General features: G+C 44.2%; 1 long non-coding RNA gene across 1 annotated transcript in view, besides 1 other annotated feature; it reads right to left on the reverse strand.

Moving 5' to 3' along the window:
• PIRAT1 (PU.1 (SPI1) induced regulator of S100A8 and S100A9 alarmin transcription 1) overlaps positions 1-21,568 on the reverse strand; it is a 49,617-nt gene that overhangs the window by 13,997 nt on the left and 14,052 nt on the right. The gene's annotated exons all lie outside the window — the stretch shown is intronic.
• Positions 13,441-13,490: a silencer, noted in NCBI's record as "silent region_11365". NCBI's record gives its function as "represses an Ori minimal core promoter by ATAC-STARR-seq in GM12878 lymphoblastoid cells {active_cell/tissue: GM12878}" and the evidence as "EXISTENCE:reporter gene assay evidence [ECO:0000049][PMID:35858748]".

The raw sequence follows: 21,568 nt of genomic DNA on the forward strand, positions 1-21,568 counted from the left end.
CTCAGCTGATCAGAATCTGGCCAAAGAGTAAAATATTTCTCTTTTAATCTGGCAGTCATTTTCTTCTTTACTCTAAAGTCACTGAACAAGGTCAAGTTCAGGGAACTGAATTCCTCAGGAAAGGATTCCCTGATCATCTGGGAGACATTAGTTCATAGTTACGATGGGTGTGTCAAGGCCCCCGTGGCCTTCTCTCTCATAGTGTTTTAGTAAATTAAACCAAAGGTGGATTGTGTTGACCCAGGCATTAACTATGACTGTTTTCTATGGAGTGTTTCAGGTATGCTTTGTGAGTTTTATGATCCCAGCTCTCTTTCTTTCTTATGGGATGGGTGGAGTGGTGATGGGCATTGTTTTTCAGTTATTGATTTAAATTAATAACAGATCATCCTGTCCAAACACTGGATTGTGTACACAGGTGAACAGGCTATTCATCTTTAGGTGTTTAAATCCTGACTCCTTTTGCATATTGGTATAGACAGATGATCAAGCTACAAAAATACGAGGATCATCTCCCAATGAGCCCTCTCATACAGCTTCTAAAAGGTTAACAAAATAAAAAAGAATCCAGTTTCTATACTGATTAGAATCTATACTCTGATTTTTTTTAAAGTTGCAAATGTTAGGGAATGAATTGAATTCTATCTTTAGAGTAATCAAACTCGTTAGCCTCTTTGGAGAGCCCTGACTCCACTGCTATTATTAATTGTTTATTCTTTAATCAGCCCCTTCACTTCTCTGAACCTCAGCTCAGCTTCTTCATCTAAAGATGAGGGTAGGGTGTAAAACTATATTACATCATTTTTTAAAATGTAGTTATTTTAATTCTATGATGTAAGGTCTTTTCTCCTCTACTGTCTTTGGACTATGGGCAAGAAGTACCTTTTATTTCATGTTACCATTAACATAGTGCCTTGGACATGGTAAATGTTTGACGTATATTTATTGGATGGAATGGAACAGAGTTAATTGTAACCACCTACAATTCCTCATTAGGTTGATTTCCCAATGGCAGACCCATTGAACATTCCCATTTTACGAGGTAGGAACTGGGAAGGAGGGTGAGCTCACCCCAGGGAGGTGAGCCCACAGGCCCGTGGGCACAGTCTTGGGTGGTGGACTTAGACTAGAATCCAGCTCATTTACATCTCAGTCCAGTTTTTTTTTTTTTTTCACCACATACAATAGCCCCTTGCATCTTGTTTGCGCTTACTTAGGGGGCAGAAAAGTAAATGATGTGAAAAATGTACATCATTTTAACCACACCTGGAATTATCAGAGTCCCAAATCAATGACTCTTGAATTGTTTTTACATTTTCAAATAATTGAGCGTAAACACTATCTTGAAATTCATAGAAACCTTTGTGTCCTCAGGGTATGAGAATACAGGAAGGTGAGTGATAGTCACAGGGAGTGGGTGCATCTTATACGGGGTGGTCTGTGATGGTGTCTTGGAGGGAGTGACATTTAAGTAAAGACTTAAAGAAGGAGGAGAGTCAGCAATGCAGGTATCTTGGAAAGAACATTCAGGCAGTGAGAACATAGCAGGCAAAGGCAAAGGCACAGTTTACTCAGGCCATCATGGCTCTGCTGGAGTGAGGGAAGAGTGGAAGGCGAGGAGGTCAGAGACTCAACATCCCCATTGTATGCCAGGAAATGCAGAACCTTGGTAAAGACTTAATATTTTACATAAATTAGATTCAAGTCATGGCAGGTAAGAGCAAAAGAGGCAAGTGATCTGATTTACATTTTAAAAGGATGGCTTCTATGGAGAATAAGTGGTAGGGGAGTGAGTGTGCAGGGCGGACCAGTTAGAAATTCAGGCAAAGGATAATGGCAATTTTGACTGGGTGAATATACCAGAAGTGGTAAGGAGTGATCATATTTAGGATATATTTAGAATGTAAACCCAATAGAATTTGCCAACAAACTGGAAGTGGATTGAAAGGTGGGAGGAAATCCAAAATGACTCCAAGATTTTTGACCTAAGCAATGAATAGAAAGGAGCCTCTGCTAAATGAGGTGGGGAGGGCAGAAGGAGAGGCAGACTGAGTGTGGGGGTAAGAATGAGATGAGAGTTGGTATTTGGAAATGTAAGTTTTGTTTTTGTTTTTTGGGTTGTTTCTTTGTTTGCTTGAGACAGGGTTTCACTCTATTGCCCAGGCTGGAGTGTAGTGGTGTGAACACTGCTCACTGCAAACTCTGCCTCCCAGGCTCAGGTAATTCCTTCCACCTCAGCCTCCCAAATACCTGGGACTACAGGAGTGCGCCACCACACCTGAATAATTTTTTTTTTTTTTTAGAGATATGGTTTTGCCATGTTGCCCAGGCTGGTCTCAAATGCCAGGGCTCAAGCAATTCTCCTGCCTCAGCTTCCCAAAGTGCTGGGATTACAGGCGTAAGCCACCACACCAGGTTGGAAATGTAAGGTTTGACATTTATATTAGACATTAAAGTGGAGAAGTGAAGTGGGCAACTGAATGAAGTCTGGAGTTCAAGAGAAAGATCAGTTTGGATTCCTGAATTGGAAAATTCTTAGTGGAGAGATGGTGTTTAAAGAGAGAGAGAGAACTGGCTGGAGACATATCTGAGTTGATGAGAGAAGGGATCCACTGACCCTGTGGAGAGGTTGGCACCAGGCAAAAGCCCAGTTAATTCATTTTAACTAGGGGGCAGGCCAATTAGGGAAGTGAAGATATAGTTGGTAGACCTGTGAAAGTGTTCTTCTGTTAACTTCTATTTCTCAGTGAATTGAACAGAAAGCTCATCAGCTGAGAGAGAGGTGGATGAATGAAAGACTGGGAGGTTGAGGACAGAGAAGAGTTGTGAACTAATTGCCAAGGAGAATGATGGCCTAGAGAAATGAATTAGGACCTCTGGACACCTTGCACACTGCCTGGCTCAGAGTCAGGCTCAATAAATCTTCCCTGGATGAACAATGGCCCAAGAGCCTAAGGAAGGAGCCAAACTGAGGATTCAAATCTTAATATAGTGCACAACTCAGCCTGTCAGATTTGGATCCATATTCAGTCATACATATTTGGCCAATTTCCTGAAGTTCCATTGAAGGAAACTATAAAAATTGTAATTTAAGCATCTTTCCTGGCAACCCCAAAGAGGGGCTCCAACCTTTGCCAAATGATAGAATTACAGACTTTCTCCTTGGAAAGCTCCCTTCCTAAATAGAGGTTTTTTTGTTGCTGTGTTTAATCTCCCAGTATAGTACTGTTCTCTTTATTTGTACCTTTTTTATTCCTTATAGGTTTTTAAACATGTTTCCCGGCATCCATCATTTTAACAGCCCCTCTTCCCTTTTTCCACACAAAAATTCTTCCTTACATGTCCCCTAGGAATATCTCATTAATTTCATGTGTTTACAAACTTTTTACTATCCTACAAAGGTCCTTCCCTCTACCCCCAGAGAAGTATCTAGTCAGGGAAATAACATACGTGAACTAAAGGCTCAGCATTCTTTTCTGCTCATTCATTTACATTTGCAAAGTCTCCTGAGCCTTTAGCTGCCTTTTAAATAGATGATTCACTTGCTTGTGGAGAATTTCAATAATTTTTTGGTAACAGTTCTTGGTTTTCAGACAGAAAACCTTCCTATGGAAGGATATCTTTCAAATTTTTGAGACTCACAAACTTTGACCAGAGAATAATTCTCTAGGGAGCTAATGCCAGGTTCTGCTTCTCCTTATTTCATTTTTTTTTTCTTTCTAAGAACGTATCTCAGGCCCTTTTGATTGAAACCAATTCTTCTGTGAAGTAGGAAAACTATCTTTAGAATTTACTCAAGTCTACGACTTAATTTTTTGGAAAAGATCTATGATATAGGCAACATTTGGAAGCCATGCTTCTTTAGATAGATAGAAATATGTAAGTAGGGGATTTTAATTTTTTATTTTACTTTTGAAACATAACAGAAATATACAGAAAACACACCATTGCTTCTTTTATTCCACACCTTTTTTTCTGGAGTATATCCTTTAGTAGGTCTTTCAACAATACTCTATTTAATGTCTCTCAGTTTTTCCCTGAAATGTCTATATTTTACCCTCACTCCTGAATAATTTAATTGGCTGTATATTTCTAGTATGATTTTTTCTAGTATTTCTAATATGATTTTTATTTTTTGCTCAGCATATTGATGTATTTGTCCATTGTCATCTGGTCTGTATGGTGGCTGTTAAGAAGTCTATGATAAGTCTAAATATTCCTTTTTTAGATAAATTGTCTGTCATCTTGGATGGCTTTTAAGTTATTCTCTTCTTATTAGTGGTCTGCATTTCCACTCCAAAGCATCTAGCTGTGAATTTAACTTTATTTTTCCTCTTTGGGACTTGTGCTTCTTGTCTCAGGGCTTATGTCATCAATTATGGAAATTCCCAGTCATTAGGGTTTGTTTGTTTTTCAGAGACAGGATCTCACTCAATTGCCCAGGCTGGAGTGAAGTGGTGCCATCATAGTTCCTGCAGCCTCCAACTCCTCTCACTATGTTGCCCAGGCTGGTCTCAAACTCTTGGCCTCAAGCAATCCTTCTGCCTTGGTCTCCCAAAGTGCTGGGATTACAGGCATGACCCACCATGCCTGGCCTCATTCGTCTTTTAAATCTTAACTTTCCCCTATTCCCTTTCCTTTTCATATTCTGAAACTCTTATTAGGCATAGGTTAGCCATCTTATTTTTTCCACCATGCTTTTAATGTCTATTTATTAGTTTTAGTCTCTATCTCTATGATAATTCTGGACAACTCTTTAGATAGATCTTCTAATTTCCTGATTCTTCATCTTTATCTTCTCTACCATTTTATTGAGTCATTGCATTCTTAATACTAACTGATTTTTTATTGTACTTCTAGAAATTCTATTTTCATTTTGTTGTTACTTTCTTACGCTTCTGATTATACCCTTAATTATTTACATACACATATTTTAAAGTCTCTAGTCAATTGTTCTATTATCTCAAGTATTTGCACCTCCAATCCTCCCGTTAGCTGGATCTGTTTATTTTCACTCATGTTGGATTTTTTTAAACTTCCTCTGTTTTATAATTTTTGACCATCAGTTCATCCTTAGTGGGGCTTGTTTTCATGCAAGAATCCCCTGCAGCTATGGGAGCATCCATCCATGGATTTTTCATGTGTTTTACAGGCGTCCCATGGGCATCACTGGCTCTGGTTTTGAGGTTCCTGGGGTAACATATATTTGAACCACTAATTTGAGAGAAGGTTAGGCCTGGGATTTGCATTTTGCAGGATGCTTTTATTCACTCATAGCCAGATGAGTTTCCCTATGATCATCTGGGCCACTGGCAAAATGTTTTCTGTTTTTTTGTTTTGTTTTGTTTTGTTTTTGTTTTGAGATGGAGTTTCACTCTGTCACCCAGGCTGGAGTGCAGTGGTGCGATGTTGACTCACTGCAACCTCCACCTCCCTGGTTGAAAGAATTCCCCTCCCTCAGCCTCCCAAGTAGCTGGGATTACAGGCACATGCCACCACGCCCAGATAATTTTTTTGTATTTTTAGTACAGACGGTGCTTCAGCATGTTGGCCAGACCAGTCTCGAACTCCTGACCTCAGGCAATCCGCCCGCCTCGGCCTCCCAAAGTGCTGGGATTATAGGCATGAGCCACCATGCCCAGCAGGTACAATGTTTTCTAGTCTAACCTTTCAGTGGTGTCCTTTGAGAGTCCAGGCTTTACGTAGCCATCTCAGCACCTTTTGTAGACACGCAATCTTGTCTCTGTCCCTCCATAGCCATTAAAATCCAAGCCAGGAAAGTATCTGACCAACTCCTGACGCCTCCCCACACTGGCTGAAATATCAACACAGAAGCTTGCCTTCCTAGTTTGAATTTTCTTTTTTCCTTTGGCACCCAAGTATTTCCCATTCTTTCCTGAAACTTGAAGCAGAAATAAAAGAACTTCCACAATGTTCCATTTCATATCTACTCACCTGCCACAACTGTGCTCTACCTTTCCTCTCATTACTATGGATGAACCATCTGTGCCTATAGGGCCATTCCTTATACTTGTACACCAGCTCCCATTCCCTCTCACCTGTTCAAGGACACCACTCTTGTAATTCTCCGTTCTCTCCCTCTCTCTGTCTCTCTCTTTCTCCTCTCTCTGTCTCTGTCCTCCTCTCTGTCTCTCTCTTTCTCCTCTCCCTCTCTCTTTCTCCTCTCTCTGTCTCTCTCTTTCTCCTCTCCCTGTCTCTCTCTCTCTCACTCTCTCTCTCTCTCTCTCTCTCACTCTCTCTCTCTCTCTCCTGCACTAATTTTCCTCTTGTTCTTGGATTACTCCTATCAGCATGCTGGTATTTCTATTATTATTTTTTTTTTTTCTGAAAAAAAAAAAAAAAAAAAAAGAAAGAAACCTCAGTTTATCTTTCCACCCATCTAGTGTCCCACTTCTCTTGTTACAGAAAATTTCTCAAAGTTTTTGCCTCTAATTCCTCTCCTTCATTCCCCTTTTACACTCATTCCAATCAAACCTTTGTCCTCACCATTCCACCAAAAGTACTCTTTCAAGTTCACCAATGACCTCCACATTGCTAATTCAATTCTCGGTCATTATCTTACTTGACCTAGTAGCATAATGTGAAGTAATAGATGATTCCCTTCCCCTGGAAATCCTTTAATCTTGCTATGTTTAGGACTCTGCATTTTGTTTGTTTTCCTTCTTTCACATCAGTCACTTCTCAGTCTCATTTGCTATTTATTCCTTTTCTCCCCAAACTCTGGAGTACCTCAGAGTTCAGTCCTTGGATGTCTTCTCTTTTCTAGCCCTATTCAGTTTACTGATGATCCCATCCAGTCTGAAGCGTTTAAAGGCCCTTTGTAAGTTAACAACTCCCAAATGTATACCTGTAGCTTGTATCTCACTCCTAAGTTTCAAATTTATATATCAAACTGTCCACTCAACATCTCCAGTGGGCTGTGTAGTAGACTTTTCAAATATATCTTGTCCAAAAATGACCTCCTGCTATTTCTTATCAATCATGCTCTTCCCCATCTTAGTTAATGGCAGCTCCATCCTTCTGATAGTTCAGGCAAAAACCTTGGAGTCACTGTTGACTTCTTCCCCTCCCCTTGGATCTGAAAATAAAGCTCTGGAATCAGGGCAGTTGTTCCACTCAAATGAATAAAATGGTATGAACACAGAACAAAGGGAGCCTATGTTCTGTTAGGAAGGGGTAAGAGAACAAATAAGTGTGACATGAAACTGAACATGCCACATGGGAAGCTTAAAATGCTATATGGGTTGGAAGGTGGGAGAGCTAATGCCTAGAAATAGAGATTCTGATAGGCATCTAAAAGGCACAGGCTTCTGAGATGTTCTGAGATGTTCCTGAAAGTTGTGTATGATTGGATTACTTACAGTGGGGGTGAGTGGGAATTCCAGGCAGAAGGAGCAACTGAGCAAGACCCACATCTTCACAGTTAGCTCTGCCTTCCCCTGGAGTAGGACTCTTTCTGCCTACCCTGGCAATATGTCTCCTGGGAGCCCTTCGTAATGCCTGGACCCCAATTCCACCCCATCTTACCCGCCAACATAGATCAAATCACAGTTGCTCTGTTTCACCAACATTAACTTCCAAATTGTCTCTCACAGGCTTCCCGCTCTCAATTCATGTTACCCCCATCCCAGTCCACACTTCCTCTCCTATGTTGTGTCTCATTGCCTATCTCTTGGCCTTTGGGCTGCCTCCCCCTCTGTCCATTCTGTTCACTGCAGCCAGATTGACGGTAACAGCGATGATGACTCTTTTGAACAACATGTAAGAGCCTATTCTGCACCACGCCTTGCTCTCAAGGAGGCTTGTAATCAAGAAAAAAAAAAAAAAAAAAAAAAAACTTGGAAACATCTACAGGATACAGATGTTTCTATAAAACTTAACATAATACAACTGGCACAGGAGAAAAAATGATAAATTCTATCAGGGAGGGTGGGAGCAATTATAGAAATCACTCAAAATTTATATGTGGCTCCTCATCATCTGTAGAATTAAGATCTTCCATAACATGCCCCTAGCTACCCATTCTGCTTTGTTACCCCCCCAGTGCCCTTCATGTACCCCGCCTTCTAACCAAAGTGCTCTGTTTGCACATGGGCCCTGAGCCTTCCCTCTCCATGCTTGTGCTCTTGCTGCTCCATCTGCTTGCAATACAAGTGCCCTACCTTGCGTGTGTAAATGCTACTCAGTATGTAAAACAACACAGTGCCCTGCACATAACAAACACTAAATAGTGTCAGTCGTCTTCATCATTATCATCATCATTATTCTGGAAAGATTAGTTCAATTCTCACATCTCTTAATTTTTAAAGTCACTTATGGTCTTGCTTGTGTTGCAGACATACAATCTTATTTCCTTGCCTTTGAGGGCAGGGAGTGAGTCACATAAGATTATCTTCCCCTTTGGCAATAGAAAAGTACCTGGCTACACGCTACCATTAGCCAGGTACTTTTTGATTGCCAGAGGGAAAGATAATGGTGAATAGTGTGGAAAATGCTATTTGTTTTATCTGTTTTATTTCAATTCATTTCCCACTTATTATAAAATGAAATACTTAGAAATGACTCTTTTCACTTGTTGAGTTAAATGGCCATAAATTGAAGACCCAATCTAATTCAAATAGGATGGAGTGAACCTCTGAACTTCCTCAAAGAATGCCTTAAAATACAAAATGATTGAGTGAGTCCAACCTCAAATCACAGCTGATTCAAGATACCCTTTCTCCGTAACACAACTTACACCCAACAGTTGACTGGTTTAGTCAGAGGCAGTCACCCAGGGCTTAAACAGCCTGTAAAAAGAAGTTGTAAGGAAATCTGAGTATGTCAGTTGGATGTGGTTAATAGGGAAGAGGGTGTTCTGGATGGGGAGATATTGAATGACAAGGGTGAGAAGGATAATCTTCTGAGTGGAAAGAGGACAGGACACTCACTTTAGTTGGTGGCAGCCCCTTCTCCTTCTTCCCCCACTTCTAACATGGCCCCTCCCTATGTCTGCTCTCAGAATCCAAACCTTCTCCTTGGCTCTGCTTTATGAACAGTGTGGTGTTTGAGTTCTGTGTGTTGGATACAGTCAGGTCAACATAGCTTCAAGTCCTGGCAGCTTCACTCCTTCTGCAGTCTTGTACAGATCTCTGCTCTTACTGCAAGCCCACACTTCATAGGCATACGAAAATAATATACCCACTGGAGCCATCTACCATGAGTAGAAGTAGGATATGGCCAAGCTTTCATTCACTTGAGGAAGTGATTAGTACATGTTTCCCAGGCAAAACTCATAGTATTTGTTTCAGAAATTTAGATATTTTAACTTCACATCCTTCATACCCACCCCTTTTGGTTTCTTCTACCTAAATTTTGTGCAAAGACTTAAAAAATATCCACCCACCTCACCCCCATCCCCACACTCCCTTGTACTCTTTTTCTTGGCTTGGAAATTTAATTTTTTTTCAAAGCATGCTCCACTCTAAAATATAGTACATAGCGGAGATGGCGCTACGTAGAGAAAAGGTCATGGGCTTTGGGGCCACATAGCCTGGATTTAAATCCTGGCTTTGCCACCTACTTTCTAGAACATAAGAATGTGAGGTACAGATTGGGGAGCCCCCTTCCCTCCACCAATCCAACCCAATGCAAGGTTGGAAAGATTGCTCATAGCTAAGAACAGAAGGTGCCACACCGTGCCACAGAGTTTCTAAGAGGGAGTGAACCAACAGCACCTTTATGATGACTTCTCTCTCGTCTTTATTAAGGAAATGAGAGAAAAGAATAGAAAGTTCCCTTCCTGTGCAATCAGTGACTCCTGACTTGCCCCACCCCACCCCACCACCACCACCACTTCCCTCAACCTCCCATCTTAGTCAGGTCCTGGCTCAGCTGAGCACTAAACCACTGAACTGACAGATAGCCTGATGATGCAAGGGTATGGGAGAAAGTGGAGCAGAAAGGGTGAATGGGAGGTTGAGGGGTCAGGGAAGACAGCTTGGCTTCTTACCACTCAATGGAGGAACAAAGATAGAAACTTTCTCCATGTAGGTCAATCAAGAAAATAGTGTAGAAAGTAGCTGAGACCTAGGCCATCATGATATGGTCACTCCAAAACCCATCCATCAAGGATGGTGAAAAGAGACGGTGGTGAAATGGACTGAGGGGCGGACTTCACATGTGCAGTGAGGGTGGACAGGTGCTTCAGTGAGTTCCCTCCTTCACCACTACCAGCCAAAGAACCAATCCACGAACCCAGAGGAAAGCCCACCTATGCAACCAAGAGGTAGCACATTTTCTGTGGGTCAAACAACAGAAGAGGAGACTGAGCCAAGACAATCTGCCCACCACTGACAAACAGGCAAACACACAGGTAACTCCTTCCTCTATCACCTGCCCCAGGCACCAACATCAGTGTTGCTAGGCCTAAGACATAGATAGGATGGAGAGAGATGAGACCAACACTGTAACAATCAGACAAGACTACAAATCACTGAGTCATGCTAAATGTATTTGATGCACTGAGATACCTTTTTATTTATTTTATTTTATTTTTTATTTATTTATTTAATTTTTGAGACAGAGTCTTGCTCTGTTGCCCAGGCTGGAGTGCAGTGGCGCAATCTTAGCTCACTGCAATCGCCGCCTCCTGGGTTCAAGCAATTCTCCTGCCTCAGCATTCCAAGTAGCTGGATTACAGGCAACTGCCACCACGTCTGGCTAATTTTTGTATTTTTATTAGAGATGGGGTTCCACCATGTTGGCCAGGCTTGTCTTCAGCTCCTGACCTAAAATGACCCACCCCCCTCGGCCTCCCAAAGTGCTGGGATTACAGGCGTGAGCCACTGCGCCTGAGATACTGTTAAAACTCAGTTTTACATTTTCCCCTCCAGCTAGTGTGTCTAAGGTAGACACTGGTCAAAACTGTTGATATTCATTATTTGGAAATATAAAAGCAGTCGGTGCTTGTCTTTTCCTGATGTGGCGCATTTCTCAACCAAGCCTGCCTGTTATACTCTCTGTACAACCCTGGCCAAATTCTTTAACCTCCTGAACTGCCTTCCTATTCTGAAGATCAACCCATCTCACAGCACTGCAGGTTAAGAAAGCTCCTGCACAAAACCCTTAAATGTTAGTTCCCTGGCACCGAGAAGTAGGTGGGAAGTTGGCTTAGCCAGAGAAGTAGTAAATTATCTATTCTACCCTTTTGTAGACATTAACTACATTGCTAGAGAAAGAGAACATGCCCTCTTGTTCTTTTTCCTCCTACCGGTCACAGCTTAAATGTCACTTTCTCAGGGAGGTCTGTCTTGGCCACCCTACCCAAAGAAGGTGGTGTCCTGTTTTATTCTTTAGTACATTTCCTGTTATTTCCTCCGCAGTCCTAATCAGGACGTGAGCTTAGTAATTAACTTACTTGTCAAGTTGTTTCTTATCTCCATGCTGCCCCTGTTACATTACCCGAGGTCAGGCCCCTCTCTGTTTTCTCCCTCTTGTATTTCCAGTGCCTTTAAATTTGTACCACTTAAATGTGGTAAATCTTGTTCCTGAAGGTTCCAGGGCCTTGACTTGCATGTTCTTTTCCCTTATTTAAAGAATCTGAAATAAATTATCTACTTAGTTTGGTCCTTCCTGTGGCTGTTTGCTTGCTTTGGCAGAGTGAAAGTGAAATGTATTTTAATTTTTTTTTAACTTTACAGAAGCCATTAATATAAACCACAGAAATGGTGAGTTTCAATACCTGAAGTTCTGTGAATAATTACTGGGTGGAGCTATTCACACAGGCAATTTTCTGCTTTCCCCATGAGATAAAACCCCAAAAATGTGTTACTATAGCAGCCTGTTTCCTTACTGAGACAGAAACAAAGCAACCTATGAATTAACGTCAACCATTCCCCTGTACTGTGTATCCTCCCAGTTCTTAGTCTCAATGTGCCAGCAGATACACCAAATGTTGGGTTAGTGAAATGTCTGACACCTACACATGTGGAATAAAACGTGCATGTACACAAACTATAATTTAGCAGTATCAGTAGTAACTGCAAACTGAAAAAACAAAAAGGAAGTTGCATTTAAACATAGTGGTGGGCAGTCACCTCAACAGCATTGGGAAAGGGCTGTGCCCTAATTTGGGAAAATTTTCTCATTTTCCTGTTGACTTTGGCCCAGCAAAACGAATGGATTCCATTGGGATGCTCCCTGGTGAAAATCCTACCATCCTGAGCAAATTCAATGGCCAGCTCATGTCCAGTTCCTGTCATTAGTCAGGTTTCACATGAACAAGTGTGGTTTTCCAGAGCTAAGTACTTTCCACAGACAAAGCACCATAAAGCCACTTCTGTGACAGTGAAGTGAAGGCAGTGACATGTGGAACCCTTGTGGAATCTAGAGAAAGGGCTCAGAAAGCCCCCTATGCACCCATGGCTGGGCTCCCAAGAGGCCCCATCTAGTCCAAGATGGTTTCTCAGAAGCACTGAATCCAGAAGGCCATTTAGTAAGCAAAGTCATTTCTCATGGCATTGGTCCCTTTAGAAGCATCCTCCAGGTATGTCCAATGGGAGAGGACATGGTGGGACTGACTTAGAGAGACCCAAGTAGAAACTGCCTTTGGGCGGGGTCCAGTGGCTCCAGCCTGTAATCCCAACACTTTGGGAGGCCAAGGTGGGAGGATCACTTAGGCCCAAGAGTTCAAGGCCAGCCTGGCCAACATAGTGAGAACTTGTCTCTACAAAAATTTTTTTAAAAAGTTAGCCAGGTGTGGTGGCACATGTCTGTGACCCCAGCCACTCAGGAGGCTGAGGCAGGAGGATCGCTTGAGCCCAGGAGGTCGAGGCTACAGTGATCTGAGATCATGCCACTGCCCTTCAGCCTGGGTGACAGAGCGAGACCTCCATCTCTAAAACGCAAACAAACAGACAAACAAAAAACCCAAACCTGCCTCTGAAGAGCAGATCTTTGCTCCTCAAAGTGAGCCAGGACCCACAGCATTACATTTCTGATGCAAAGCCGCAGGCCCACGCCAGACCTGCCGACTGAGAAACTGCATGTTCACAAAAACCCACAAGAGTCATGAGCCTAGTGAAAGATGAGGCACACTTGCTGATTTTGTAGATGCTCAAAATAAACTTTGTAGAAAAATAGGCCTGGCAAATATGAGCTCATGGAGGAGAGGAATGGTGCTTTACTCTTTTTTTTTTTTTTTTTTTTGAGAGGAGTCTCCCTCTGTTGCCCAGGCTGGAGTGCAGTGGCGCAATCTTGGCTCACTGCAAGCTCCGCCTCCTGGGTTCACGCCATTCTCCTGCCTCAGCCTCCTGAGTAGCTGGGACTACAGGTGCCTGCCACCACGCCTGGCTAATTTTTTCTATTTTTAGTAGAGATGGGGTTTCACCATGTTAACCAGGATAGTCTCGGTCTTCTGATCTCGTTATCAGCCCGCCTCTGCCTCCCAAAGTGCTGGGAGTACAGGCATGAGCCACCGCGCCCGGCCACTTTACTCATTTTTTAACTACCAGTGCCTGTAGAAAACTAAGCATATGAAATATGAGTTGAACAAATGAGTGGATAAAGTGAGGGATTACTGCACTGTGTGGACACTGTCCTGGGCCACACAGAGCCCCTTTTAGCCATTCATCTCATCTACCATCTCCGACTCCCCATGTCCCGTGACACAGGATATCCAAGGCCTGGGTTTTGAGTCCTGGTTCTACTTCTTCCAACATTGGGCAGGCCACCCTTGCTCTACACCTCAGTTTCCCCAGCTGGAGGTAAAATATAATAAAAACAAAACCAAACACTAGATTGGTGCAGGGCTATGATGGGCTAGCCATCCCGGCCCAGAGTGGGATCATTGTGAAGAGCTCCAGGACTGAGCCTGGGTGGTCTGTTGAGGCCATCGTGGGTTTGCATGCAGCTCAACTTCCTCCTCTGGCCACTCCCGCTTGCTTTCCCTCCCTTCAACAGGTGTTGATCAAAACATAATATAAAAGAAAACCTCCCCCCAAAACATCCTGGATGCTAAACTTCATCTCAGAGGCTGCTTCACTGGGAGCACTGCCCATAGCACTTGTGAAAGGAAAGCTGGTCCTCACCTAAGATCTAAGATTGTTTTGTGGGAATTTACTGAGCAGCTTCTGGGTTGAGGGAAATCAGAAATGAATATTAAGCTGGTCCTCACCTAAGATCTAAGGTGGTTTTGTGGGAATTTACTGAGCAGCTTCTGGGTTGAGGAAAATTAGAAATGAATATTCTTCAGGTATTTCTCATGTGGCTGGAAACTGAATACTACAACTGAATTATCCTGTAGCTTTATTAAGTTTATACCAGATTCTCCCATATGATGATACTACTAGAACTTAATACCTTACTATTATGGTAGATAATTTTGTTTTTACTAGTTTGGTGTTTTTTGCTGTTATATTTTATTTCTCCTTGGTGAAACTGAGGCACAGAGCAGTAGTGACCTGCCCAGGATAGGAGGAGGTAAGAGTCAGAACTCAAACCCGGGCCCTCTAATTAGCCTGTGTCACATGATATGGTTCCTAGGCAGTGGTAACTGGGATGAATGGGGCTTCCTTAGCCTTTCATAATGGAAAAGATTTCAGATAAAGCTTGCTGTCAACAGATTACGAAACAAAATGCACCTGGTGTCATCCTGTTCTATTGTAAGTCCTTGTTCTCTATGCAAGGGGTCATTAGAACATTTTAGTGGGCTTAACCTTGGTCATCAGATTGGTTACCTGTGAGCTTTGTATTGGGATACAGCTCAACAAGCAACCATGACCCTAAGCCTCAAAGCCTTGAGCCCCACTGTGAGCTCCTTGGGGACAGCACCCTACCCATCACCCTTGTACTTCCTCACCATCTGACCAGGGAAGGGAATAAAGTTAATGTCCTATAAGTGTCTGCTCAGTGACCGGGTGGATAGGCAGTGAACATGCCATGAATACCACCTGCCTTAGAGCCCGCTAACTAGTGGTGCGAAAGAGGCAAAAGAATTGCGTTTTGGTACAGACCTAAAACTCTCCACACACAGTCGCCAAGAGGCTCGGCACTCCTACATGACCCATCACCTTCCAGCCCACGTCACCTTCCCTTTCTCAGTGTTCTTCTGAGCGCTACAGCTTGTATACACAGTTCAGAACTGGATTGCAGAGTGTCTTATCCTGCTTAAGCCAGCATGTGAGACGTGAGCCCAGGGTAGGGCAAACCCCTAGGAAGTCAATGAACGCTCAGTGGGCCTGTTGTGGGTTCCAGGGCTCTCGTCTTTCCTGTAGCTCCTGCCAGGGAAGTGAAAGCAGCTGGGTGTTGCCCGCCAAGGGCTCAGCCAGCTTCCCCTGGCAGGAGTGAAGCCTATTGTTGGAGCTGCTAGGTTGGCTGCTCATGGGCCAGACCAGTGAAGGCGTTCCCAAGGTTCATGTCAGAAGCCACACACGGTAGCAGGAGCTCCCAAGACTGGCTTCTCACCTCTGTCACCCGAATCTTCACTGTGTAAATGGGTTATCTTCTAGTCCAGTCTTGTGGTTGAACAGACTGTTTGTAAAAGGAAGGAAAAGAAATGTTGGCCCGAAGCCGGTGCAGCAGAGCTGAGGGCCAGGAAAGCTGCCTCCCACCTCTCTGCCAAGGCATTTCCGCTCTGACCTGCCATGTCCAGTGCACACCATTCCTGCTACACAGCCAGAAGTCAGGGTGGGATGGTGGGCAGCCTGTCTGAGGCCAGGAGACACAGGAGAGAAAAGAGAGGGCTTAGGTCCAGGGAGGGCAGATGACAGAGCCAGGAGGAGCAAAAGCAATTCCTCCTTCAGAGACTGAAACAGGAAAACAAATCTGTTGGACAAAAAGTGTCCAGGTTCAATGACTTGGCTAAGGTGCCATGGCCAGGGAGAGCCTGAGTCTACCAAGAGACCCCGGCAGCAACCTTGGTCATGAGGATTTTAGAGCAGCCCTTGCAGAGGCAGTGAGAGCTTTTCTGCCACGCTGGGCATGGTGTGTCTGCAAAATTTCAAACTCATTTCCTGAGATAAGAATGACATTTATTAAGGCATCCTGGAAATTAAAAATAAGTGGCAAGAGCCTCCCCACCCTGGCCCACAGGGCTGTTTGCCAAAGCTGGGTGACCCAAGGGAGCAGGACAAAAACAGAGCCCTTGGGGAAGCTGCTCTGCTTCCCTCCATCACGATGTCCTGTTCTCTGTCTTCCCTTCCTCTGGTCCTAGCCCACAGCACTGGCCAGGCTTGGAGGGGGTCAGAGAACATTTGACCACGATCCTGGCAGTGAGAGTGATGGCCTGGCGATGAGACTGTCAGCCTGAACCTCCAACATGGCTTTGAAGTCCCCACGATCAGTCCCCTGGTTCTCTCTCAGGCACCTCTCCATGCCTGCCACCTGGCGCCCAGGGCTCCAGGCTTATCCAGCCTCTGCCAGCTCTCAGAATCCACCATGCTTCCTCCTGTCTGTATGCAGCTGCTTTGAGGTTTGTCCCCTCTGCTGGGAGCACCCTCACCAGCATCTTTTCCTCACCCCCACTCCCAAACTCAGTCTGCCTGCCCGATTTTCACTCATTCTTCCCTGTCTGTCCTCCTCCACCCCAGCCACCAAGCCAAGCGAAGGCAAGGCGCCCCTCTGACAGTGCCCAGAGCTCCCCTAATCAGCCCCCTCGCCACAGTGCAGAGCAACTGCCTGGTGCTCAGCTCTGTTCCCAGCTAGACAGTAAGAACCACAAGGCACAATGTCAGTTATTTCACCATTGGGCTGGCACTGAACAAATGCTCAACAAATACGTGTTAGACAAAATAAATTAAAAATTAATTAACAGGCTGAGCACGGTGGCTCATGCTCGTAATCCCAGCACTTTGGGAGGCGGAAGCGGGCAGATCACCTGAGGTCAGGAGTTCGAGACCAGTCTGACCAACGTGACGAAACCCCATCTCTACTAAAAATAAAAAAATTAGCTGGGTGCGGTGGGGCACACCTGTAATCCCAGCTACTCAGGAGGCTGAGGCAGGAGAATCATTTGAACCCTGAACCTGGAAGGTGGAGGTTGCATTCCAGCCTGGCCAACAGAGTGAGACTCTGCCTCAAAATAAATAAATAAATAAAAATAATAATAATAATAATAATAATAATAATTAACAAAAGGCCCCAAAAGGCAATTTGGACAATTGCCCCAGGCTGATCTCGAAGGTTTCCTCCAACCATTAGTGGGTAGTGGGGGTGATGCTCTGGGGCTCTTCCCCTCGCCTCTGCCTGTGGTCTTGCATCCTGGTCCGCGCAGCTGTTACATGGGGTGGAGGTCTGAGTCTGGTGGGTGTGCAGCAGGTCAGTCAAGGAAGAAAATATGGTCTAGAAAACAGCCTGGCCGCGGTCACCCCCAGGGGTAGGGCCAGGGAACAAAGGAGGTTTCCTGGAAGTGTTGTACTTCTTCTTACCTCAGGGGCGCAATTATTCATTTCTCAGGGACCCACCAGTATAGAGAGAACAATAACTCTGCCCCCACAGTGCTTGGGGCCTGAGACGCTTACCCAGGACACAAAGGAGAACAGGGGGATGGCGGGAGGGATGAGCTGAGAATGCTGAAATATTTCCCCCCAGGGCCTGTGATCCACAAAGCTGCCTCTTTTCCCACCTGGCCTCAGGATGCACTGGGTGCTGGCCTGCCTGCCTGCTCCTCACCCCTCCTGACCTGCTAATCACCATAAAGTGTAAACCAAGAGACCAGCACCTGTTTGTCTTTGAGCCTCCATGTAAAAATACGTAGGAGCACATTTTAAAACCACATAGCAAATAATTGATTCATAAATCAAAGTTCCGTTTTATATTCTACCATAAATAATCATCACTGGCCAGTATTGCCTGAGCCTGGGTCCCCGGCACCAAATGAAAGTCAAACACATTATTTGTTTGTTGGCATTGGTAACAAGCCAAAGAGCATCATCTTCTATCACAGACTATGGATGGAAGTAGAAATCATAAAACTGCAAATGTTCTTTCCTAATGCTTTTAATAAAAATAAATATACCTATTGTCAGAAGTTCAACCAAATGAGTTTTACGGAATAAAAGTGCCATTGAGGAGGGGGTGATCAGAGTGCCGGGTGGATAGAGAACTTGTGGCCTTTCCTTTCAGGCGGTGGGCCAAGATCAGCTCAGTCCCCTCTTTGGGACATGCCTTTTTCTCCTCCTGCATTCCTGGGTTTCCAGGCTAGCTTGGATTCCTAATTTGGAAGTCACCAGAGAGCAAACCTCGACAGTAAGCAAAGGAGTGTCCTGCTATGAACTCCCTGAGAGACAGCCCTAGCCCTGGTTACACAGCAGGCACCTCAGTTCACCCCTCCACCAGCCTCCCAAGGCTCCTGAATCGAGCAAAGAATGAGGCTCTGGGCCTAGCCTACTCCCTGCTCACTGAAGCTGTGCCTATTCAGGGATCTAGCCTGGTGCTAATGTTTTCAAGCAGCCTCCCTGGACAGGGGGTCCTCTGGGAGGTGCTGGCAACCAGCAGACTTGGGATTTGATAACTGCTCTGGTCTGGGAAACATGCAGATTGTGACTCCTCCTCTGACTGGTACTGTTCTAGAAAATGATGAAGTTTCTTGATCATCTATCTCCTGAGCCTCTCGGTGACACTGACAGGCTTTATACCACATAGACATCCTCCATTAGTGCTATCCTCTGCCAGTTTTTTCCACCTTCACCCACACTCTCACAGCAGTGGCAGTTTCTGAAATCTCACACTGGGGCAGTCCAGGAAGGTGGGGACTTCATTTTCTTTGCAACTGTCGTGATACCAATACACTGCTGGGCTCAAGGTAGACAAGTGAAACAGGAGACTTCCCTGACCACCGCCCCTCCCACACCCCAAAAGACCTGTGACAGGGGTGTGGCTCATATGTTTGGCCACTATCCATGCTCAAACTTCTTATGGGAGGGGGAGCATGCAGACGGGCATGTGCAGGAGCCAGGGTGAGTGCCCGTGGGCTCCAGCCCCATGGCAGTGTTCAGGGGTGGGAGCTTGAGACTCCCAAAGCCCAAATGGTCATGTGTTACAGTGCACTCCTTTAGCCTTGCTGTCCACAGACGACTTAAGTGTTAAACAGCTCAGTGCCCTCTTGATACCCAGGTCCTTGTCCAGCATCCAGGAAGAATGAGGTTGCACATGAACCTGAGGAAGGTGAATGTGGGACTTCAGTGGTGGAGGTGGCTCTCAGCAGGATGGATGGGGAGCTAGAAAGGGGATGAAGTGGGAAGATGATCTTCCCATGGGGTTTGCCCATCCAGCAACTGATCTCCTCTCTGACCACCTCCAGCAGAACTACTCTTGGTGTTTAGACACTCCTTCTCTTCTCTCTGCTGTGCCATTCTGCTGCTCTTCTGTTCTTCTGTTCATCCTCTTGTGGAGCCAGGGGTTTAGGGTTTATATGGGTACAGGATAGGGGGGTGCGGTGGGCCAAAAGGCAACTTTTAGATGCAAAAACACCCAAAACCATGTAGTTCAGTGTCCGCAGAGGGGCGGCAGACATTGTCCACAGCTCCTATGTGGGATTCTGAGGCAGCCACCTGTTCTAACCTCATTGGTCAGATGTCTCCACCAGTGTGGCAGGTGGATAGTGAGTTTATGAGTCACAGTGACATTATCCAAAATTTACATTTGAATTGATTGCCTAAATATTATTTTATCATTAAAGGAAATTTTAAATTAGAATATAAATCATCCCTAATCCACAAACACAACAACTGATTTTAGTCTTGCCTATTCCTTCTAATTGGCATTCTTTAAAGTGTTTTATTTAGGGATTAGATACCAAATTCCAAGGGCAGAAAATTTCCATCCAAATCAGCAAAGATTCTTACAAGTCATCTGTGCTTGCATGTAATAATTTTCTGCCCCCTCCAGCCTGGGAGCTCCTGGAGGGAACACAATTTTTACTTCAGTAACTCAGCATTTAGCACTGGGCTAGAAACTAGCAGGTGCTCATTAAACATTTGTTAAATGAACAAACTCCCCAAACCAGGACCTTGCTGGAAGTGTACATTTACATCAAGGGTAGGGATTGATTAAAATTAACTTAGTTAATTTTAACATAGAATAAATCAAAATTCTCATGAAAGTAGAAAGCATGGCAAGAGTAGAGCATCTGAATGTCATCCATTGACCCCAAATTCAATGCTGGAATGGAATATTGTACATTGAGTCCTGTGGGAGGAAGGACAGAAATGAGAGAATGAAGTTGATGACCTGAACACTCAGAAGCAGTACAGGGATAGGGGAAAATAGTGGGTTGAGGCAGGATGTTGAGAACTAGGTCAGTGAATTAAGAGGGTCTTCCAGGGGGTTTCACAGAAGTGGGGCCAGCATCTACTGTGGGGAATAAGTGTGGTGGCTTCAAGGAAACTTGCCATTTCCTCAAAAGCAAAATTTCTTTTTGCTTTTGAGGACAGTCATAGTTACTAGTGGGGAAATTATTCTCCAGGCAAAAGTAGCAGTGACCATGTGACCATAGCATCCTTATCTTATATAGCTCATAGAAGAAAACCTTTTATCAAAGGCAATAGAATTTCCATTTCTTGCATGGATTGGATCAAACTAAGGTTGTCTTCCATTATCATTTATATTGTATATTTCCCAATATATCCTTATATTTATATACCCAGTATGATCTATTTAACTCAGAATCTAAATGCCTTGAATGATCTATTGAACCTCAAAGGAAAATTCTAGAAAGGACTCTATTTACTGCCAAATTAAACTCAAAATAAGCCATTTCTCTAGTGACAGGATGTCTTATTTTCTGGTGGGCATGACCCTCCTCCATAACGGGGGCAACCTGGACTGCACTGGAGTGATTCCTGGATAAGACAGTTGGGCTTTGAGCTGTCACATGACCTCAGTTGGCCATAGGAGAGGTACAGTCTGTCCCCCATTGGGGCAAACTAAGTTAATGCTTAATTACCACTTCCAGGCTTTTCTAATCATTCTTGATCAAGCCTGGATTTGGGGGTTCTGGGATTCTGTAAGCCTTGGTTTAAAAAAATTAATTACATGTTACGTTATAAAAGACTTTTTTAAAGGGTCAAGCGAATCTATTTGTGAAAACACAGAATAAGAGTGACTCCCATGTGATGAATAAAGTGGATATGAGTTGCCAGATTGTAAGTGAGTTAGGTAATGACATTGGAGAAGTCATAAGTATCTGAGAATAAGTAATAAAGTGCATATTTTGGAAGCACTTCCAACAAATCAACCTTGCTTGAATCTCATCCATCTGCTAGAACTCTCCTACCCAACCAGCCTCATCCTGTGGAATAGTCCCTCCCTAATATCTCTCACATCCTTTATTTCCCTGGTCTCCTGCCACTATTCTAGTCCAGGTCCTCATCACAATTTGTCTGGATTATTGCAATGACCTCCTCGTCAGTCTTCCTGTCTCTAGTTTCCCTTTGCTTTCAATCCATTCTCCATGATGCCACTGGACTCAGGGCTTTGTCTTTGTCTTAACATGCCACTTGACATGCTCTAGCTCTGTGCAGAGCTCTGCTTCCCACTGCCTTCTGGGACAAGTGCAAATCCTTAGTCC

This window comes from Homo sapiens, chromosome 2 (genome assembly GCF_000001405.40).
Source record: "Homo sapiens chromosome 2, GRCh38.p14 Primary Assembly".
NCBI lineage: Eukaryota > Metazoa > Chordata > Mammalia > Primates > Hominidae > Homo > Homo sapiens.